Below are 20,853 nucleotides of genomic sequence, written 5' to 3'. Positions count from 1 at the left end.
AATCGGATGGTTGCCGTGTCTGTGTGGAAAGAGGTAGACATGGGAGACTTTTCATTTTGTTCTGTACTATGAAAAATTCTTCTGCCTTGGGATCCTGTTGAACTGTGACCTTACCCCCAACCCTGTGCTATCTGAAACATGTGCTGTATCCACTCAGGGTTGAATGGATTAAGGGCGGTGCAAGATGTGCTTTGTTAAACAGATGCTTGAAGGCAGCATGCTCCTTAAGAGTCATCACCACTCCCTAATCTCAAGTACCCAGGGACACAAACACTGCGGAAGGCCGCAGGGTCCTCTGCCTAGGAAAACCAGAGACCTTTGTTCACTTGTTTAACTGCTGACCTTCCCTCCAATATTGTCCTGTGACCCTGCCAAATCCCCCTCTGCGAGAAACACCCAAGAATGATCAATAAAAAATTAAAAATGAAAAAAAAAAAAAAAGAAGTACAAAGGTGAGCAGCAAAACATTAGCTTCAGGAAAACACTACAGATCTAAATTGTTTTTAAAATGATTAAATTGATTAAATGGAAAGAATAAATGTAATTCCTCATTATGCCACAATGAAATTTCAAAACAGTTATTCAACAAATGGCAAACACCTCTTTAGAAATCTGGGTAATTTGAAGTGGGGATTTTCAATTTGTTGGGGGCATCTGCCAAGACCCCCTTCTCTGTCCCCCAATACTTCCAATTCAAGGATGAGATCTGGCACTGCCATTTTGGCATCAGATGAGCCTGGCTGCTCTACCTCCCACCTTTGCTGGGCAAAAAATGGGCTGAGTCAATCCGATTTTTCCTCTCAGGAATTGAAAATACAATTGGAAAATGCTCAATGTGTTTCTCAAGTTGCTTCAATAACTGAGACATAAACTCAGAAGCTATAGTGCAGCCTGGTTTAGCCATGTGGAGTGAAAGCCAGTTTAGTGAGAGAAAGAAAGAAAACAGAATAGGGTGCTGAGCTAGCATTCTAATTCCTGATGTAAAATCTTCCTTAGGCCCAGCTGAGCCTGAGTTCCATAACCTATTAGAATTCTTTCAGTAAATTTTCCTTTTTGTTTAATTTAGAAGATTTCTCTTAATTTCAGTCTATTTTAATCAGGGCTGGAGTCACATAAGTATGGGATGAGAGGTAAGCAATGCTAGAATGATCTTTCTGCAAGTGAAAATAAAATAAGATAATCATCAAAATTCAGAGCCAGAAAGCCCTTTGATCAAAAGAGATGGAGCTGACGCACCATTTGAGAATTTGATTCCTATTTCTGTCATGTATTTATTATAGTATCTTAGTTCAAAACCAAAGAGCCTCAAGTTTCTACATGTCGAACAGGCAACACTTCCTTTCCAAAGGCATTTCCTGCTGTCCTCCCTGCCCCCAACCATACTGATACTCAGCAGGTGTCTCTTGCATCTTCCCTCAAGTGTTAATTTGCTCATGTTTAGCTTCTTCTCAGAAGCCTACAATGGTTTCCAACTGCTTCATATGTCAAATTAAAACTGATAAAGTGCTTCAACCTTTAGTTCTGCATTATCTAACCACTGTTGTTACCCATTATGCCTAGTTCAGTCCTAGCATCAGCCCTCTGTTCACCACCCATGGCTACAAGACTCCCACTTTAAGTTGAGAGCACAGCAGCTGCTGGTGCCTCCTCTCAGAAATGGCACATGAAGAGTAAAGAAGAGGAATCTTGGAGTCTAGACACTTCGATACCAGTCCTGATTCTTTTATTAACCTGTCATCATTTAATTTCTACAGGCCTGACTTCTCTATAAAATGAAGATGCTGAGGTTTGACCACTGGATTTCAGCTTTTTTCCTGCCCCAAATCATCTAAGAGGGATGGCAAGGACACATGAAAGATTAAGTAACAACTTTTTTTTTTTTTTTTGAGACAGATTCTCACTCTGTCACCCAGGCTGGAGAGCAGTGGCACAATCTTGGCTCACTGCAACCTCCGCCTCCCGGGTTCAAGTGATTCTCCTGCCTCAGCCTCCCAAGTAGCTGGGATTACAGGCGCGTGCCACCACGCCCAGCTAATTTTTTGTAGAGACAGGGTTTCACTGTGTTAGCCAGGATGGTCTCGATCTCCTGACCTCATGATCTGCCCGCCTCGGTCTCCCAAAGTGCTGGGATTACAGGTGTGAGCCACCACGCCTGGCCAATAATAACATTTTTAAAAAACAGAACAAAATATGTCACATCAACTGAGTAAAAAAATAGCCAGAAAGACATTGCTGTTGGCTTGGATGGCATCACAGCAGAGGTAGAACTTGGCTAAACTATGAAGGAAAAGAAGGACATGGATCAATGGAAGGGCTGCACTTATGTCAATTAAGCTTTCATTTACTTTTGTGTTGGTTGTTCACAAATAGTATTAATAGATCATTGGAAGAAACATATATTAAGAGACTGGACTGGAAAGGAAGAAACTATTCTAAACACTTACCAAACACATATTGAGAAGGTTCTTGATAAGGCTAAGGATAGGGCTAAAGGAGAAACTCAAAGACAAATGGACATAATCCACCACAGTCTAACCTCTGAGGGCAAGGACCATATCTGCTTTGCTCACACTGTGCTCCCAACCCCTAAGAGCACCTTGCAACAAATAAATATTTGTTGAAAGAATACAAAAACATAGCCCCTACCTTTAAAAACTTATGATTGTTTAAAGAAAAAAAAACAGAGAACAAAAGAGAGTATGTTGTCCATTCCCTTCGGGATCCCTAATAAGCCCGGCATCAATTTCACTTATGGGGAGCCCTCCAGGGGATAATAGAGGGAGGAATGTAAACTTCACACAATAACCATTTTATACAATAAATGAACAAATTCCACTGTGTCAGCAAGTAAACAAATCTGTCACTTGACTCATTCTCTATGCTTACCATTAGCTGAGAATGAGCCTTTTAATAGAAAAGAATAAGTCACTCCACAATGTTAAGCCCAAAAAAAACCCTGAAATATACATTAATTTACTTCAAAATGCCACCTCTTCTTAAGTTGATTTTCTCCTGCAACCGCCTCAACCACAGGCAATTATGTCACATGTGCCAGATCCATGTGGTCCAAATGACAGCCCCCCTAACCAAATGTATTACCATAGCAACAAAGGGACTGCATTTGCCATTCTCTAACTGCCAGGGCCTGATCAATTATTTAACATGCCTATACTACAGTGACAGTGTATAAATGATCATGTTCATTAGCAGCAAGAGTCAGCTCTCAGAAAATCACAAACCCCTGACAGCTAAATTGATCACAAAACCAAACACACTCTCCTTGACGGTGATGTTAAAGATCACAGTGTAAAGGGATGGAAGGAGAACAAACTGTTCTTAGTTTTAAGCTTCCACTTTAGAACTGCATTAGCATTCACTCTCCCAAGATCTTATTGTGAAAAAAGGAAGAAAGAATGAAAGAAAAAAGACACACAAATTGATTTTATACAAGCAACACGTTATCAAAAGTTGCTGAAAATAATATGATTAGATGAGAAGATTGGAAAGCCAAAGGACAAAATTTGTCTTAAGCTTGTTTGATGGTTTTGGGTTTTGTTTTTCTTCTGTTCCACTTCTGGGTTATTTCTCATTAGAAGAATAGGCAGGGAAGTGAAAAATTGGATACTGAAGGGAATTCACAGTAGGCAGCAGCCAGCAGTGACTGTCCTCTCTCCCAACCTGGTTAAACCTCCACTGACTTTCCACAGGGAGATTCCTGAACAGAGAACAACTGAGGATGTCCATTTGGTTCTGTGAGAAAGGAGAAATCATTTCATCAAGAATTAACCAGAGATTGAGTTCAGTCCAGGACTCTGACAATTCACTACACAAAACTTCAAAGCCAATACAACTAAAACAAACAATTCTATTTCACGAGCTGAATCCAGGAAGGGATTAAAGTCGGTTAGAGTGGCCCCCATACCCTGTATCCACAGTGATCCAGAAACTGGATCAGCACTGAAGGCTGGAATCAGCACTGGGGCTAGAAGGAAGGGCAAATAAATGGCTTTTTTACTCACTTCATTGTGTTCTTTCATGGAGGAAAGAGAGAAAAAGGGGACAGCCTGCCTAAAGATTCTTATTGATTTATAATAGATCATAGAGTGATAGTGAAAGTTTCAGACATCTAAGAGTTTTTATTTTGCTAAAAATAACCAACATCAGCCAGGCATGGTAGCTCACACCTGTAATCCCAGCACTTTGGGAGGTCGAAGTGGGAGGGTCACTTGAGCCTAGGAGTTTGAGACCAGACTGGGCAACATGGGGAGACCCCATCTCCACAAAAAATTTTAAAAATTAGCCAGGCATGGTGGCACATGTGTGTGGTCCCAGCTACTTGGGAGGGTGAGGTGGGAGGATCACTTGAACCTGGGAGGCCAAGGCTGCAGTGAGCTGTGATCATGCCACTGCACTCCAGTCTGTGGGACAGAGCAAGACCCTGTCTTGAATAAATAAATAAAAAAATACATACATACATACATACATACATACATACATACATACATACATACAAACTGACATACCCGGAAAGGAAGCCTCCAATTTACTGACAAATTAGAAGGCAGATATAACAGTCCGAATAACCCATTCTTATACAAGGTTCCTATGATACTGTTCTAGGTATAGTCCTTGGTCTTTGTGCTTTACCAAGATCTAGCTTCCTACAAGCTACAGCTATCAGACCCTGATTAGACCGCAGAGACGACTAAATAATTTATGAAAAGTGTAGTTTTCCAGTATAGTAGTCCTTCCATCACAGATATTAATTGTTGTTATGGTAAATGCAAGAAAACCTCTTAAAAGGTTATGATATACATTTATTTCACTGTTCATATGGACAAGAATATGAAAAAAATTATTAAATATTCATCCAAAATGACTGTTCCTCCCTTAAAATCCACCTTCCCCAAGAAAAGAATCACAAACACTTAAAATAAAATCTAGGGTAGCCTACATACCACAAATTGCTTCTCTAAGTGGATAAATTGTTACATAAAGAAGCTAAGCATTTACAAACACTTCATGCAGTGGTATAATTTTATTTATACACACATAAAATAAAAACATGCACCTCAGGGATCATTTACACAACTAAATGTCTTTCTGATTACCATATACAAAAGCTCAAGACAGATAACCTCTCACATCTGACAATACATAGGACATGTGTTATAACCACTGTTCTGTTTCCATAATTGAGTGAATACCTTTAAACAATCGGTCAAATATCTGACTCCCATTTTCAATCTTGCAACATGCATGCAAATACATGTTTACAATATATTACAGAACCCATGGAGAACACTAAGTTCTAAGAAAGCCTTTTTGAAGTTTTTGTTCTTTATACTTCTCTACTCTAATAATTTTAGTTACTAGTATAATAGTAACAATCCATGAATGACATTTAGAAGCAAAGTGAATTTTCCTCTGCCAGCTGACGAGGACTTCATGGCTGCTGGTCACAGTACTCACTCTACCTTCTTGTTAATAGTAGTTACTGTCATTTGTCACTGAACTAAAAATTAGAATATATTATGTAAAGCTAAAAGTAATGTTATACATATTTGTCTTGAATTTTGTTTATAAATTATTTCTACCACTTGCACTCAAGTAAAGATTAAACAACAGAAGTAATATACATCACAGTACAGTTTTTAATAATAAAAAATTATAAACTTAAAAATGTCCAACAATGGCAAAGTGATTCCATATGATTTATGGAACATTCATAGAATATACCACTACTAAAAATGGCACAAGACCAAAATAATCAAAGTAGATCAATAGAACAGAAAGAGTCACAGAAACAGACTCCCACACACACAATCAGGATTTTCAATAAAGGCACCAACACAATACAACAAGGGAAGAAAAATCTTCTCAACAAATGGAGCTGGAATAACTAGATATCCATATGGAGTGATATTAACCTTGACTTCTGGCTAACATCACTCAAAAAAACTGACTTGAGATATAATATAGATAACATAAAAGCTAAAACCATAATGCTTTCAGAGGAAAACACAGGAGAATATCATCTTGACATGTGGCAACAGGCCACAGAAAGCAATAATATAAGAAAAATAGTAAAGATTACTTTATCAAAATTAAAAACTTCTCATTAAAGATATGGTTAGTAAAGAGAATAGGCAAGTCACAAAATGGGAATAAAGATCCGCAAAACATACATCTGACAAAGAACTGGTATCTGAATTTAGAACTCTTAACAGCTCAACCCAGTTTATAAATAGAAAAAAGATGTAACTAGACACTTCAAAAAAGAGGATATACGAATGGCCACTAAGTGCTTGAAATAGGCTCAATATCATTATGCCACTACCCACCAACCAGAATGACCAAAGTTTAAAAACTGACAACCCCAGGATATGGAGCAACAGAATTCTTATACATTATGAGTGGGAATGTAAAATAAAAAAACCACTTTGAAAACAGGCCTGTCAGTTTCTTACAAAAGGTAAACATAAACCTCCTCTATGATCAAGCCATTCCATTCCTGGGTATTTACCCAAAAGAAACAGATATAGAAATATAAACACACATATATAAATGTGGATGTGTATATATACATATTCACATATACACTTACTATACACACACACACACATATCCACAAAAAGACTTGTAGAAGAATGTTCCATAGCAGCTTTTTTCTTAATAGCTAAAAGATGAAAATACCCCCAGATGTCTATCAATAAAATAAGGAAACTGTGATTCATACAATGAAATAGTACTCAGCAATAAAAAAAAAGCTACTAAAACACAACAACCTGAATGAATCTCAAAAACATTATGATGAGTGAAAGAACCACCACATAAAGAAGTACATATTGTATGATTTCAATTACATAAAATCATAGAACAAGCAAAACTAACCTATGGTGGAAAAAATTGTAATAGCGGTTGTCTTTGGAAGGGTGGGAGGTAGGGATTGACTGGGAAGGGTCAGAAGGGAACCTTCCAGGGTGATGATGATGTTATATAATCTATATTATGACAGACTTTGGATTATGCAGGTGTATGTGTTTATTAAAATTCAGCAAATATATAATTAAGATGTACGCATTTCATTTGAGTACAAATTTTGTATCAAAAGAAAAACTAAATAAATATTGAGTTCATGTTAATGATAGATATGCTGAAGAACTTAGAGGATATTTGCAATTTACTTTGAAAGGTATCAAAAAATTAAGATGCAGCTAGGTGCGGTGGCTCGAGCCTTTGGGAGGATAAAGTGGGAGAACTGGAGGCCAGGAGTTTGAGACCTCGAGACCAGCCTGGACAACATATCGATGTTTTGCAGATTGACAATTTTTTGTCACAATAAAAACAGTTTTAAAAAATTAGCTGGGCATGGTGGCGCATGCCTGCAGTCCCAGGTATTCGGGAGGCTAAGGTATGAGGATCACTTGAGCTCAGGAGTTCAAGGTGGCAGTGAGCCATGATTGCACCACCGCATTCAAACGAAAGAAAGGGGAGGGGAGGGGAGGAAAGGGAAAGAAGGAAGGGAGGGAGGGAGGGAGGGAGGGAGGGAAATGGATAGTTATGTGACAAAGCAAGTATAGAACAATGTTAATGGTAGAATTTGGATGATGGGTTAGGTCTTTCTTTACTATAAAATTCCTTCAACTTTGCTCTATGTTTGAAATTTTTCATGATAAAATATTGAAAACCATAGTATGAGAAGAATATCTGCTGAAATGTAGAGTATATGAAAACATATAGTCATATGTTGTTTAACAATGGGCTACATTCTGAGAAACGCATCCTTACATGATTTTGTCATTGTGAAAATATCATAGAGTATACTTTCATAAACCTAGATAGTACAGTATACTACACACCTAGACTATCTGGTATAGCCTATTGCTCCTAGGCTACAAACCTGTACAGCATGGTAGTAATGAATATTGCAGGCAACTGTAACATGATGGTAAATATTTGTGTATCTAAAGCTATCTAAACATAGAAAAGGTACAAACACAGTATGAAAAATAAAAAATCATACACCTGCTTAGGGCACTTACCATGAATAGAGCTTGCAGGACTGAAAGTTGCTCTGGGTGTGTCAGTGAGTGGTGAGTGAATGTGAAGGCCTAGGACATGACTGTACACTGCTATAGACTTTATAAATACTGTACATCTAGGCTACACTAAATTTATTCTTAAAATATTTTCTTTCTTCAATAATAAATTAACCTTAGCTTACTATAACTTTTTTACTGTATAAACTTTTTAATTTTTTGAACTTTTTGACTCTCTGTATTAACACTTTGCCTAAAACACAGATTGTACAGCTGTACAAAAATATTTTCTTTATTTATATCCTTATTCTATAAGCTTTTTTGGATTTTTAATGTTTTTTATTTATTTTAATTTTAAAACTTTTTTGTTAAAAGCTAAGACACAAACACACACGTTAGCCTAGGCTTGCACATGGTCAGAATCATCAGAACATCACTAGAAGGTAGCAATTTTTCAGGTCCATTATAATCTTAGGGGACCACAGTTCTACATTCCATCTATCATTGACCAAGGCATCTTTATGCAGTGCATGAATATATATATGGCAGGATATAAAACAGCATCTACAAAATAACCACATTTAAGTTTTATAAAGGTAAAAATATGCACAGAAAAAGGGCTGGGAAGACAACCAAAGTCGCCATATTGCTGCATTTAATGAATATATATTTTTTTAAATTTATCATTATTATTATTATACTTTAAGTTTTAGGGTACATGTGCACAATGTGCAGGTTAGTTACATATGTATACATGTGCCATGCTGGTGTGCTGCACCCATTAACTCATCATTTAGCATTAGGTATATCTCCTAAAGCTATGCCTCCCCCCTCCCCCAACCCCACAACAGTCCCCAGATGTGATGTTCCCCTTCCTGTGTCCATGTGTTCTCATTGTTCAATTCCCGCCTATGAGTGAGAATATGCGGTGTTTGGTTTTTTGTTCTTGCGATAGTTTACTGAGAATGATGATTTCCAATTTCATCCATGTCCCTACAAAGGACACGAACTCATCATTTTTTATGGCTGCATAGTATTCCATGGTGCATATGTGCCACATTTTCTTAATCCAGTCTATCATTGTTGGACATTTGGGTTGGTTCCAAGTCTTTGCTATTGAGAATAGTGCCGCAATAAACATACGTGTGCATGTGTCTTTATGGCAGCATGATTTATAGTCCTTTGGGTATATACCCAGTAATGGGATGGCTGGGTCAAATGGTATTTCTAGTTCTAGATCCCTGAGGAATCACCACACTGACTTCCACAATGGTTGAACTAGTTTACAGTCCCACCAACAGTGGAAAAGTGTTCCTATTTCTCCATATCCTCTCCAGCACCTGTTGTTTCCTGACTTTTGAATGATTGCCATTCTAACTGGTGTGAGATGGTATCTCATTGTGGTTTTGATTTGCATTTCTCTGATAGCCAGTAATGGTGAGCATTTTTTCATGTGTCTTTTGGCTGCATAAATGTCTTCTTTTGGTAAGTGTCTGTTCCTGTCCTTTGCCCACTTTTTGATGGGGTTGTTTGTTTTTTTCTTGTAAATTTGTTTGAGTTCATTGTAGATTCTGGATATTAGCCCTTTGTCAGATGAGTAGGTTGCAAAAATTTTATCCCATTTTGTAGGTTGCCTGTTCACTCTGATGGTAGTTTCTTTTGCTGTGCAGAAGCTCTTGAGTTTAATTAGATCCCATTTGTCAATTTTGGCTTTTGCTGCCATTGCTTTTGGTGTTTTAGACATGAAGTCCTTGCCCATGCCTATGTCCTGAATGGTAATGCCTAGGTTTTCTTCTAGGGTTTTTATGGTTTTAGGTCTAACGTTTAAGTCTTTAATCCATCTTGAATTAATTTTTGTATAAGGTGTAAGGAAGGGATCCAGTTTCAGCTTTCTACATATGGCTAGCCAGTTTTCCCAGCACCATTTATTAAATAGGGAATCCTTTCCCCATTGCTTGTTTTTGTCAGGTTTGTCAAAGATCAAACAGTTGTAGACATGCGGCGTTATTTCTGAGGGCTCTGTTCTCTTCCATTGATCTACATCTCTGTTTTGGTACCAGTACCATGCTGTTTTGGTTACTGTAGCCTTGTAGTATAGTTTGAAGTCAGGTAGTGTGATGCCTCCAGCTTTGTTCTTTTGGCCTAGGATTGACTTGGCGATGTGGGCTCTTTTTTTGGTGCCATATGAACTTTAAAGTAGTTTTTTCCAATTCTGTGAAGAAAGTCATTGGTAGCTTGATGGGGATGGCACTGAATCTATAAATTACCTTGGGCAGTATGGCCATTTTCACGATATTGATTCTTCCTACCCATGAGTATGGAATGTTCTTCCATTTGTTTGTATCCTCTTTTATTTCCTTGAGCAGTGGTTTGTAGTTCTCCTTGAAGAGGTCCTTCACATCCCTTGTAAGTTGGATTCCTAGGTATTTTATTCTCTTTGAAGCAATTGTGAATGGGAGTTCACTCATGATTTGGCTCTCTGTCTGTTATTGGTGTATAAGAATGCTTGTGATTTTTGTACATTGATTTTGTATCCTGAGACTTTGCTGAAGTTGCTATCAGCTTAAGGAGATTTAGGGCTGAAACAATGGGGTTTTCTAGATATACAATCATGTCATCTGCAAACAGGGATAATTTGACTTCCTCTTTTCCTAATTGAATACCCTTTATTTCCTTCTCCTGCCTAATTGCCCTGGCCAGAACTTCCAACACTATTTTGAATAGGAGTGGTGAGAGAGGGCATCCCTGTCTTGTGCCACTTTTCAAAGGGAATGCTTCCAGTTTTTGCCCATTCAGTATGATATTGGCTGTGGGTTTGTCATAGATAGCTCTTATTATTTTGAGATATGTCCCATCAATACCTAATTTATTGAGAGTTTTTAGCATGAAGGTTGTTGAATTTTGTCAAAGGCCTTTTCTGCATCTATTGAGATAATCATGTGGTTTTTGTCTTTGGTTCTGTTTATATGTTGGATTACATTTATTGATTTGCATATATTGAACCAGTCTTGCATCCCAGGGATGAAGCCCACTTGATCATGGTGGATAAGCTTTTTGATGTGCTGCTGGATTCAGTTTGCCAGTATTTTATTGAGGATTTTTGCATCAATGTTCATCAAGGATATTGGTCTAAAATTCTCTTTTTTGGTTGTGTCTCTGCCTGGCTTTGGTATCAGGTTGATGCTGGCCTCATAAAATGAGTTAGGGAGGATTCCCTCTTTTTCTATTGATTGGAATATTTTCAGAAGGAATGATACCAGTTCCTCCTTGTACCTCTGGTAGAATTCGGCTGTGAATCCATCTGGTCCTGGACTCTTTTTGGTTGGTAAGCTATTGATTATTGCCATAATTTCAGAGCCTGTTATTGGTCTATTCAGAGATTCAACTTCTTCCTGGTTTAGTCTTCGGAGGATGTATGTGTCGAGGAATTTATCCATTTCTTCTAGATTTTCTAGTTTATTTGCATAGAGGTGTTTGTAGTATTCTCTGATAGTAGTTTGTATTTCAGTGGGATCGGTGGTGATATGCCCTTTACCATTTTTTATTGTGTCTATTTGATTCTTCTCTCTTTTCTTCTTTATTAGTCTTGCTAGCGGTCTATCAATTTTGTTGATCCTTTCAAAAAACCAGCTCCTGGATTCATTAATTTTTTGAAGGGTTTTTTGTGTCTCTATTTCCTTCAGTTCTGCTCTGATTTTAGTTATTTCTTGCCTTCTGCTAGCTTTTGAATGTGTTTGCTCTTGCTTCTCTAGTTCTTTTAATTGTGATGTTAGGGTGTCAATTTTGGATCTTTCCTGCTTTCTCTTGTGGGCATTTAGTGCTATAAATTTCCCTCTACACACTGCTTTGAATGTGTCCCAGAGATTCTGGTATGCTGTGTCTTTGTTCTCATTGGTTTCAAAGAACATCTTTATTTCTGCCTTCATTTCGTTATGTACCCAGTAGTCATTCAGGAGCAAGTTGTTCAGTTTCCATGTAGTTGATTGGTTTTGAGTGAGTTTCTTAATCCTGAGTTCTAATTTGATTGCACTGTGGTCTGAGAGACAGTTTGTTACAATGTCTGATCTTTTACATTTGCTGAGGAGAGCTTTACTTCCAACTATGTGGTCAATTTTGGAATATGTGTGGTGTGGTGCTGAAAAAAATGTATATTCTGTTGATTTGGGGTGGAGAGTTCTGTAGATGTCTATTAGGTCCGCTTGGTGCAGAGCTGAGTTCAATTCCTGGGTATCCTTGTTAACTTTCTGTCTCGTTGATCTGTCTAATGTTGACAGTGGGGTGTTAAAGTCTCCCATTATTATTGTGTGGGAGTCTAAGTCTCTTTGTAGGTCACTCAGGACTTGCTTTATGAATCTGGGTGCTCCTGTATTGGGTGCATATATATTTAGGATAGTTAGCTCTTCTTGTTGAATTGATCCCTTTACCATTATGTCATGGCCTTCTTTCTCTCTTTTGCCCTTTGTTGGTTTAAAGTCTGTTTTATCAGAGACTAGGATTGCAACCCCTGCCTTTTTTTGTTTTCCATTGGCTTGGTAGATCTTCCTCCATCCTTTTATTTTGAGCCTATGTGTGTCTCTGCACATGAGATGGGTTTCCTGAATACAACACACTGATGGGTCTTGACTCTTTATCCAATTTGCCAGTCTGTGTCTTCTAATTGGAGCATTTAGTCCATTTACATTTAAAGTTAATATAGTTATATGTGAATTTGATCCTGTCATTATGATGTTAGTTGGTTATTTTGCTCATTAGTTGATGCAGTTTCTTCCTAGCCTCGATGGTCTTTACAATTTGGCATGATTTTGCAGTGGCTGGTACTGATTGTTCCTTTACATGTTTAGTGCTTCCTTCAGGAGCTCTTTTAGGGCAAGCCTGGTGGTGACAAAATCTCTCAGCATTTGCTTGTCTGTAAAGGACTTTATTTCTCCTTCACTTATGAAGCTTAGTTTGGCTGGATATGAAATTCTGGGTTGAAAATTCTTTTCTTTAAGAATGTTGAATATTGGCCCCCACTCTCTTCTGGCTTGTAGAGTTTCTGCCGAGAGATCCGCTGTTAGTCTGATGGGCTTCCCTTTGAGGGTAACCTGACCTTTCTCTCTGGCTGCCCTTAACATTTTTTCCTTCATTTCAACTTTGGTGAATCTGACAATTATGTGTCTTGGAGTTGCTTTTCTCGAGGAGTATCTTTGTGGCGTTCTCTGTATTTCCTGAATTTGAATGTTGGCCTGCCTTGCTAGATTGGGAAAGCTCTCCTGGATAATATCCTGCACAGTGTTTTCCAACTTGGTTCCATTCTCCCCATCACTTTCAGGTACACCAATCAGCGGTAGACTTGGTCTTTTCACATAGTCCCATATTTCTTGGAGGCTTTGTTCATTTCTTTTTATTCTTTTTTCTCTAAACTTCCCTTCTCACTTCATTTCATTCATTTCATCTTCCATCACTGATACCCTTTCTTCCAGTTGATCGCATCGGCTCCTGAGGCTTCTGCATTCTTCACGTAGTTCTCGAGCCTTGGCTTTCAGCTCCATCAGCTCCTTTAAGCACTTCTCTGTATTGGTTATTCCAGTTATACAGTCGTCTAAATTTTTTTCAAAGTTTTCAACTTCTTTGCCTTTGGTTTGAATTTCCTCCTGTAGCTCGGAGTAGTTTGATCATCTGAAGCCTTCTTCTCTCAACTCGTCAAAGTCATTCTCCGTCCAGCTTTGTTCCGTTGCTGGTGAGGAGCTGTGTTCCTTTGGAGGAGGAGCGGCGCTCTGCTTTTTAGAGTTTCCACTTTTTCTGCTCTGTTTTTTCCGCTCTGTTTTTTCCCCATCTTTGTGGTTTTATCTACTTTTGGTCTTTGATGATGGTGATGTACAGATGGGTTTTTGGTGTGGATGTCCTTTCTGTTTGTTAGTTTTCCTTCTAACAGACAGGACCCTCAGCTGCAGGTCTGTTGGAGTTTGCTAGAGGTCCACTCCAGACCCTGTTTGCCTGGGTACCAGCAGTGGTGGCTGCAGAAGAGCGGATTTTCGTGATCCACGAATGCTGCTGTCTGATCGTTCCTCTGGAAGTTTTGTCTCAGAGGAGTACCCGGCCGTGTGAGGTGTCAGTCTGCCCCTACTAGGGGGTGCCTCCCAGTTAGGCTGCTCGGGGGTCAGGGGTCAGGGACCCACTTGAGGAGGCAGTCTGCCCATTCTCAGATCTCCAGCTGCGTGCTGGGAGAACCACTGCTCTCTTCAAAGCTGTCAGACAAGGACATTTAAGCCTGCAGAGGTTACTGCTGTCTTTTTGTTTGTCTGTGCCCTGCCCCCAGAGGCGGAGCCTACAGAGGCAGGCAGGCCTCCTTGAGCTGTGGTGGGCTCCACCCAGTTCAAGCTTCCTGCCTGCTTTATTTACCTAAGCAAGCCTGGGCAATGGCGGGCGCCCCTCCCCCAGCCTCACTGACACCTTGCAGTTTGATCTCAGACTGCTGTGCTAGCAATCAGCGAGACTCTGTGGGTGTAGGACTCTCCGAGCCATGTGCGGGATATAATCTCCTGGTGCGCCGTTTTTTAAGCCCATGGGAAAAGCGCAGTATTAGGGTGGGAGTGACCCGATTTTCCAGGTGCCGTCTGTCACCCCTTTCTTTGACTAGGAAAGGGAACTCCCTGACCCCTTGCGCTTCCTGAGTGAGGCAGTGCCTTGCCCTGCTTCGGCTCGCGCACGGTGCGCTGCACCCACTGTCCTGCGCCCACTGTCTGGCACTCCCTAGTGAGATGAACCCGGTACCTCAGATGGAAATGCAGAAATCGCCCGTCTTCTGCGTCGCTCACACTAGGAGCTGTAGACCGGAGCGGTTCCTATTCGGCCATCTTGGCTCCACCTCGGGATTGCATTTCATGAATATTTTAACTCTACCCCATGGACGAATAATATATTATCCATTTGTAAAATACCAAAGGACTGATAGTCCCGTGAATTTACCTAGGCCATCTTAATTATAATTTTAGATTGAATAATACATATTATTTCACAGTTTCCAAAGAGCTCTCTGTCTAGTTGGAGCAGCCTAATGGGGATTTGTCATATCAGGCTGGAATTCAGGGTCTCCTTCCATGTTTTCCAGAGTAGCCTGTAAGTAACTCTACCACAGCATTTCCATATTGTTTTGCAATTGTATACTTCCCCCAAAAGATCATAAAGTCTTTAAAGGCAAGAGCTACATCTTGAAATTCAACTTAGTTATCTCTAGAGATTAGTATGGTATCTGTCACATATGGGACAGTCAATAAATGCTAAATGAATAGAAAAATCAATAAATAAACAGCCATTTCAAGAGTCCCAGCAAAGACTCTCAATTCAAAAATGTCTCCTTCATCCAGATTCTACTGTAGCTGAAATTTGATCACTAGAAACTGTTACCTTTAGATTCCTTACTGCTGTTACCAGAAAAACATTTTTAAATGTAAAAGTGAGAAGATAAAACATTAAGTCACTAAAACCCACTGCTAGATTGCTAGCTCCTTGAAGGCAAGAGAAAGGAACCATGTCAACGCTGAATCCCGACTATAGTAAGATCCCTAGGACAGATGAGGTTCAAAAAATGCACTCAGTAGAAATCACACATCAAACTGCAAACAGGTTAAGTAAGAGGTTAACATTAAGGGAAGCTGGGTGAAGGGTCTACAAGAACTCTCCATACTATTTTTGCAACTTTTCTGTAAATCTAAAATTATTTCAAAATAAAAAAATCTCTTTTAAAATGCTGATAGGGCCAGGCATGGTAGCTCATGCTTATAAATCCCAGCACTTTGAGAGGCCAAGGTGGGAGGACAGCTTGAGGCCAGGAGTTTGAGACCAGCCTGGGCAACACAGTAAGACCCCCATCTCTACAAAAAATTGAAAAAAATATTAGTGGGCACAGTGGCATGCATCTGTGGTACCAGCTACTCAGGAAGCTGAGGTGGAAGGATCACCTGAACCCAGGAGCTTGAGTCTGTAGTGAGCCATGACTGCACCACTGCACTCCAGCCTGGATGACAGTGAGACCATGACTCCAAAAAAAGAAAAAAAAAATGCTGGCAGGGAGGGTCCCAGGCCATGTGTAAAGTGAGGGAGCTAAAAGCAGCAGGAAGTTTGCAGGCACATGGAAAAGGAAAGGGCCAGAGTAGGAACAGCAATCTCTCCTTCCAGTTTCCAACCCTGTCCAGGACCTGCCATGTTTTAAAGATACTTTAGATTGCAGGAAAATTATTGGGCCTCCCAAAAGGTTCCTGCCCAACAAAGAAAGATAAATCATTCCTTGACCAAGCTGATGTTTCCAATCCAGATCATAATATTCCAGAGAGATATATCGTGGGGGGAAATTAATTTCTTTAAATGTATATATACCTACACACACACACACACACACACACACACAAACATAGAGACAGTATTTTTAACGTACTTTGAGCAGCTCAACGGGAAAGGAATGTGGAATGAACAAAGGAGGCGTCTGAGGTGCAGTCTACCTGAAAGCTAGCCTTCTATTGGTCACCATTATTCCCTGCCCCGACCACTATTTACTTATGTGTCAGCTGAGAATGACAACCGAGGTACATTTCACACAAAAATGAGCTCACAAATGGTGCCCTCGGTCTCCAAGGGCAGAAGTCATATCTGCTAATGTAGTCTGTACCATCCCTGGCTCACTACCCCAGGAAGGTAAAGAACTTGGCCAGGCAAGGTGGCTCACGCCTGTAATCCCAGCACTTTGGGAGGCTGAGGCGGGCGGATCACGAGGTCAGGAGATCGAGACCATCCTGGCTAATGTGATGAAACTCCGTCTCTACTAAAAATACAAAAAAAAATTAACCAGGTGTGGTGGCGGGTGCCTGTAGTCCCAGCTACTTGGGAGGCTGAGGCAGGAGAATGGCGTGAACCCAGGAGGCGGAGGTTGTGATGAGCCGAGATCACGCCACTGCACTCCAGCCTGGGCGACAGAGTGAGACTGTCTCAAAAAAAACAAACAAACAAAAAAAATACTTAATAAATGCTTCCAGTCATGCCAGTGACTGAAAAAGTCAGTTTGCTTCCCAGCTCCTTTACTCTCCTCGAGTAATATTTATTTAGTATTCATTTGTACATGGGAAGCCCCATCCTAGCACTGTAGCACTGCTTAAGAATGTCTGACACCTGCTCAAAGAGAGGAATTTCATCCAAACCCAAAAGGAGGAAAAACTGTTGTTTTAAGGGTTTCCTAGATTTTTTGGGAGGGGACAGAAGTTTTAAGAGGAGTGCTCTTTCAACATTGTGGGTAGTTTTTAGGGAGGGCTGGCTGGGGAGAAAGAGAGTATGTAAATGCTGACTGGTAGGGAAATGGACTTTTCCAATCTTTGAGCAGGCTGTTTGCTCCGCTCTGTCTCTGACAGGGTCAAGTCAATCCCAAGAAACCAGCATTACCTGGTTCCAGGACTCAGTGGGTTCCAAGTCCAAGTCACCTATTTTTGGTAAGCCCATGATTCTAAGCCTTCCAAGAGTAAAAGTGTCAAACTTTGATTCTGAGAGCCTTTCTATGCAAGTATACTGCTGAATTTTTTGGTTTAAACAATGGTTAGGGATAGAGGGTGTGCTACTGTTCACCTACAGGGCGAGAAGAAGGCAGCCTGTTCTTTCTCACCACTCATCATTTACCTATAGCTTCAGCCCTGGACCACCTACAGCCACGTATTCCTGATGGGAAATTTCTAGATGGGCCAGATCCCAGCTCAAGGCAAGAGACTAACAATTCCAGAACCAGCAACCAAAGGAGACAACCCTGGCCAGTGGACAGACCTCAGTACACCTAACATTACTAGGCTGCACATGAAGGCAGGACCCACGAATCTTTCTCCCCAAATTATTGTGCCTGCTTTGTTCTTTCCCAGATCTTAAGTTCCAAAAGGGGTTGTTTTCCATTTGTAAATATTGCATCTCTCTGAGATATTCTAAGATTAAATAAAAATTGAGTTACTCAAAAGCACAGAGCCACATAAAATTCTGCAATCCTGTTTTGTAACTCCTGCTTTATCTACCTAGTTCCATCTCTGTGCCTCTTCCAAACCTTTTATAAACCTGCTGGATAAGGCCTTGCCTGATTTCTTGGTCTTCCTGTACCACTTCCTCCAGTCTTTACCTCAAAATAGCCTCTTCAGTTTTCATTCTATATTCTATCTTCTTCAGAATCCTTCAGATTCAAAATGCGTCAAGAAAGAGACTCTAAGTTCAGTACTACTCAAGCTTCCAGGATCAGAAACATTTACCTCCCCTGTTTAAATAATATATAACACAATCTCACTGGTAAGCAATAGCCTTTACCATTCTTTTCAGCTCCTGATCCCTTCTATCCCTGTAAATATCTCCATCTCTCTCTCAGAGGACAGAACTGTGGTTCTCAACGTGTTTAAACCATAAGGAGGTGGGGGATGAGGAGAGCAGTAGGGATTTTTCTATGGGTCATTACAATTTTGAAAATAAATATCGAAAACATTATAGATGCCCTTGTTCACTTAATAGCCAAGAAAGCATATCCTATAACATACAATATGCATCTAAGATCATCTGCCACAGCACTTGGCAATGTATAATGATATGAAAATTAAAATCCACTAGATAATCCTTAACTATCAAATACTAATAAATACACATATTAAATGGAAAGAGGGAAAAAATAAATAATCTAGGTTAAAAATAATAGATAACATGTTCTAACTTTTCACATTTTTTCTTATTTTCTCATTTTTTCCTCACTCATTCCTTATTGTAATCCTAGCACTTTGGGAGGCCAAGGCAGGAGGACTGTTTGAGCCCAGGGGTTGGAGACTAGCCTGGGCAATATAGCGAGACCCCATCACTACAAAAAATTTAAAAATTAGCCAGGTGTGGTGGTGCAAGCCTGTGGTCCCTGATACTTGGGAGGCTGAGCTGGGAGGATCACTTGAGCCTGGGAGATCAAGGCTGCAGTGAGCTGTGGTCATGCCACTGCACTATGTCCTGGGTGACAGAGTGAGACCATATCTCAAAAAAAAAGTGGGGGGGCAGGGGAAAGGCTTTCACAGCATAAATAGAGGTAGTGGAATGAATCACTTAATGAAGCAGTGCCATTCTGGGTAGGAAATCTCAACTAGAAACAAGTACCTTGTGTTCAAGATTATGGAAGTCTCATTTTTGCCTTATGTGCTAATGGCATGTCATATTTGATTTATTTTTTGTTGAAATGGGAAGACCTGTCCTCTGTCCCAGGAAGCAAAGTTGTTTGTAAATAAATTTAAAAAATAATTACAATTCTAAATCTCTTCCCATATTACATAACTGGTTTCATATTTTTATGTTAATTCAGCACTCTTTGAAGGCATGTGATATAGTTTAGATATGTGTCCCCTCCAAGTCTCATGTTGAAATTTGATTCCCAATATTGGAGATGCGGCCTGGTGGGGGATGCTTGGATCATGAGGGTGGATCCTTGATGAAGGGCTTGGTGCCATTTTCTTAGGAGTGAATAACTTCTCACTCTTAGTTCCCACAAGAACTGACTGTTAAAAAAAGCCCGGTACTCCCTCCCCTCTCTCTCTTGCTTCTGCTCTCTTACCATGTGACCTCCACATACAGCAGCTTCTCTTCACCTTCCGCAATGAGTAGAGGTTTCCCAAGGCCCTCACCAGAAGCAGATGCTGGTGCCATGCTTATTTTACAGCCTACAGAACCATGAGCCAAACCAACCTCATTTCTTTATAAATAACTCGGCCTCAGGTATTTCTTTATAGCAACATAAATAGACTAAGACAATATACTGCAATATACTTCTTTTCATTTAGTGAAAATACTTCCTTAACAAAGTTCATAGAAAACTCAGTGTAGCCTTGCAGTCATTGTAAATATTTTATTAACTATCCTGTTCCAAAAATGGCCCTTCTCTTCCTACTCACCACCGAGGTCAATTTCATTCCCCCATTTAGGCCAGGCACAGTGGCTCACACCTGTAATACTAGCACTTGGAGAGGCCAAGACAGGGGGAATGTTAGAGGCCAGCCTGGGCAACGCAGTGAGACACCCACCTCTACAAAAATGAAAAAATTAGCCATGCATGGTGGCATGTGCTGTAGACTCAGCTACTCAGGAGGCTGAGGTGGGAGGATCACTTGAGCTCAGGAGTTCGAAGTTCCAGTGAGCCCTGATCATGTCACTGTACTCCAGCTTGGGTGACAGAGCAAGACCCTATCTCAAGAAAAAAATTCCTTTATCCAATTTCCCACAATATCATTCAACAAAAAAAGAAGGGTAAACTGGCTGTTGGAAAGTAACCAGTAGTTATAGATGGACAGAAAATCTTTTGTGTAATCTTCCTTCAATTTTTAAAAAATTTTCACTATGTTGCCAAGGCTGGTCTTGAACTCCTGGTATCAAGTGATCCTTTCTTCTCAGCCTCCTGAGTAGGTGGGACTACAGGCTCACACCATGCCCACTTGAATGTTATTTATTAAAACTAAGCTTTTGATAAAGACTCAACAGCAGAGAATTAAAGATTTTTCTCTTTTTGTGAACATTCAGCGTTCAATTATTCAAAATTACCGATCAAGAATATATTCATATGCTTCACAGTGGTCATCTGAGTGGCAGATTGCTGTCCCCTTCTGAAAAATGTTAAGAAGTCTAGCAATGACACTGGAATAAATGGCCACTTCACCTTTGCATGGAAGGGGTCGATGATAGACTGTAATAGGTAATGATTATGGGTGTCCTGAATGTTTTTCCCTCATTGCCATTTGGTAATAGCAGCCCCTTCCATTTGGGGACTCCTTTCTTATTTCATGTAGTTTTGTAAGGATAA

General features: G+C 40.0%; 1 protein-coding gene across 7 annotated transcripts in view, besides 1 other annotated feature; it reads right to left on the bottom strand.

The window, feature by feature from the left end:
* The window catches only part of FHIP1A (FHF complex subunit HOOK interacting protein 1A), a 261,328-nt gene that overhangs the window by 144,316 nt on the left and 96,159 nt on the right, over nucleotides 1–20,853 (bottom strand). The window lies entirely within an intron of this gene.
* Nucleotides 1,137–1,701: an enhancer, noted in NCBI's record as "NANOG hESC enhancer chr4:152445639-152446203 (GRCh37/hg19 assembly coordinates)". NCBI's record gives its function as "activates a minimal SCP1, AML or CMV promoter by ChIP-STARR-seq in naive and primed H9 embryonic stem cells {active_cell/tissue: H9 hESC(naive and primed)}" and the evidence as "EXISTENCE:reporter gene assay evidence [ECO:0000049][PMID:30033119]".

Source organism: Homo sapiens, chromosome 4 (genome assembly GCF_000001405.40).
Source record: "Homo sapiens chromosome 4, GRCh38.p14 Primary Assembly".
Lineage (NCBI taxonomy): Eukaryota > Metazoa > Chordata > Mammalia > Primates > Hominidae > Homo > Homo sapiens.
This window is presented reverse-complemented; position numbering and strand designations above follow the sequence as displayed.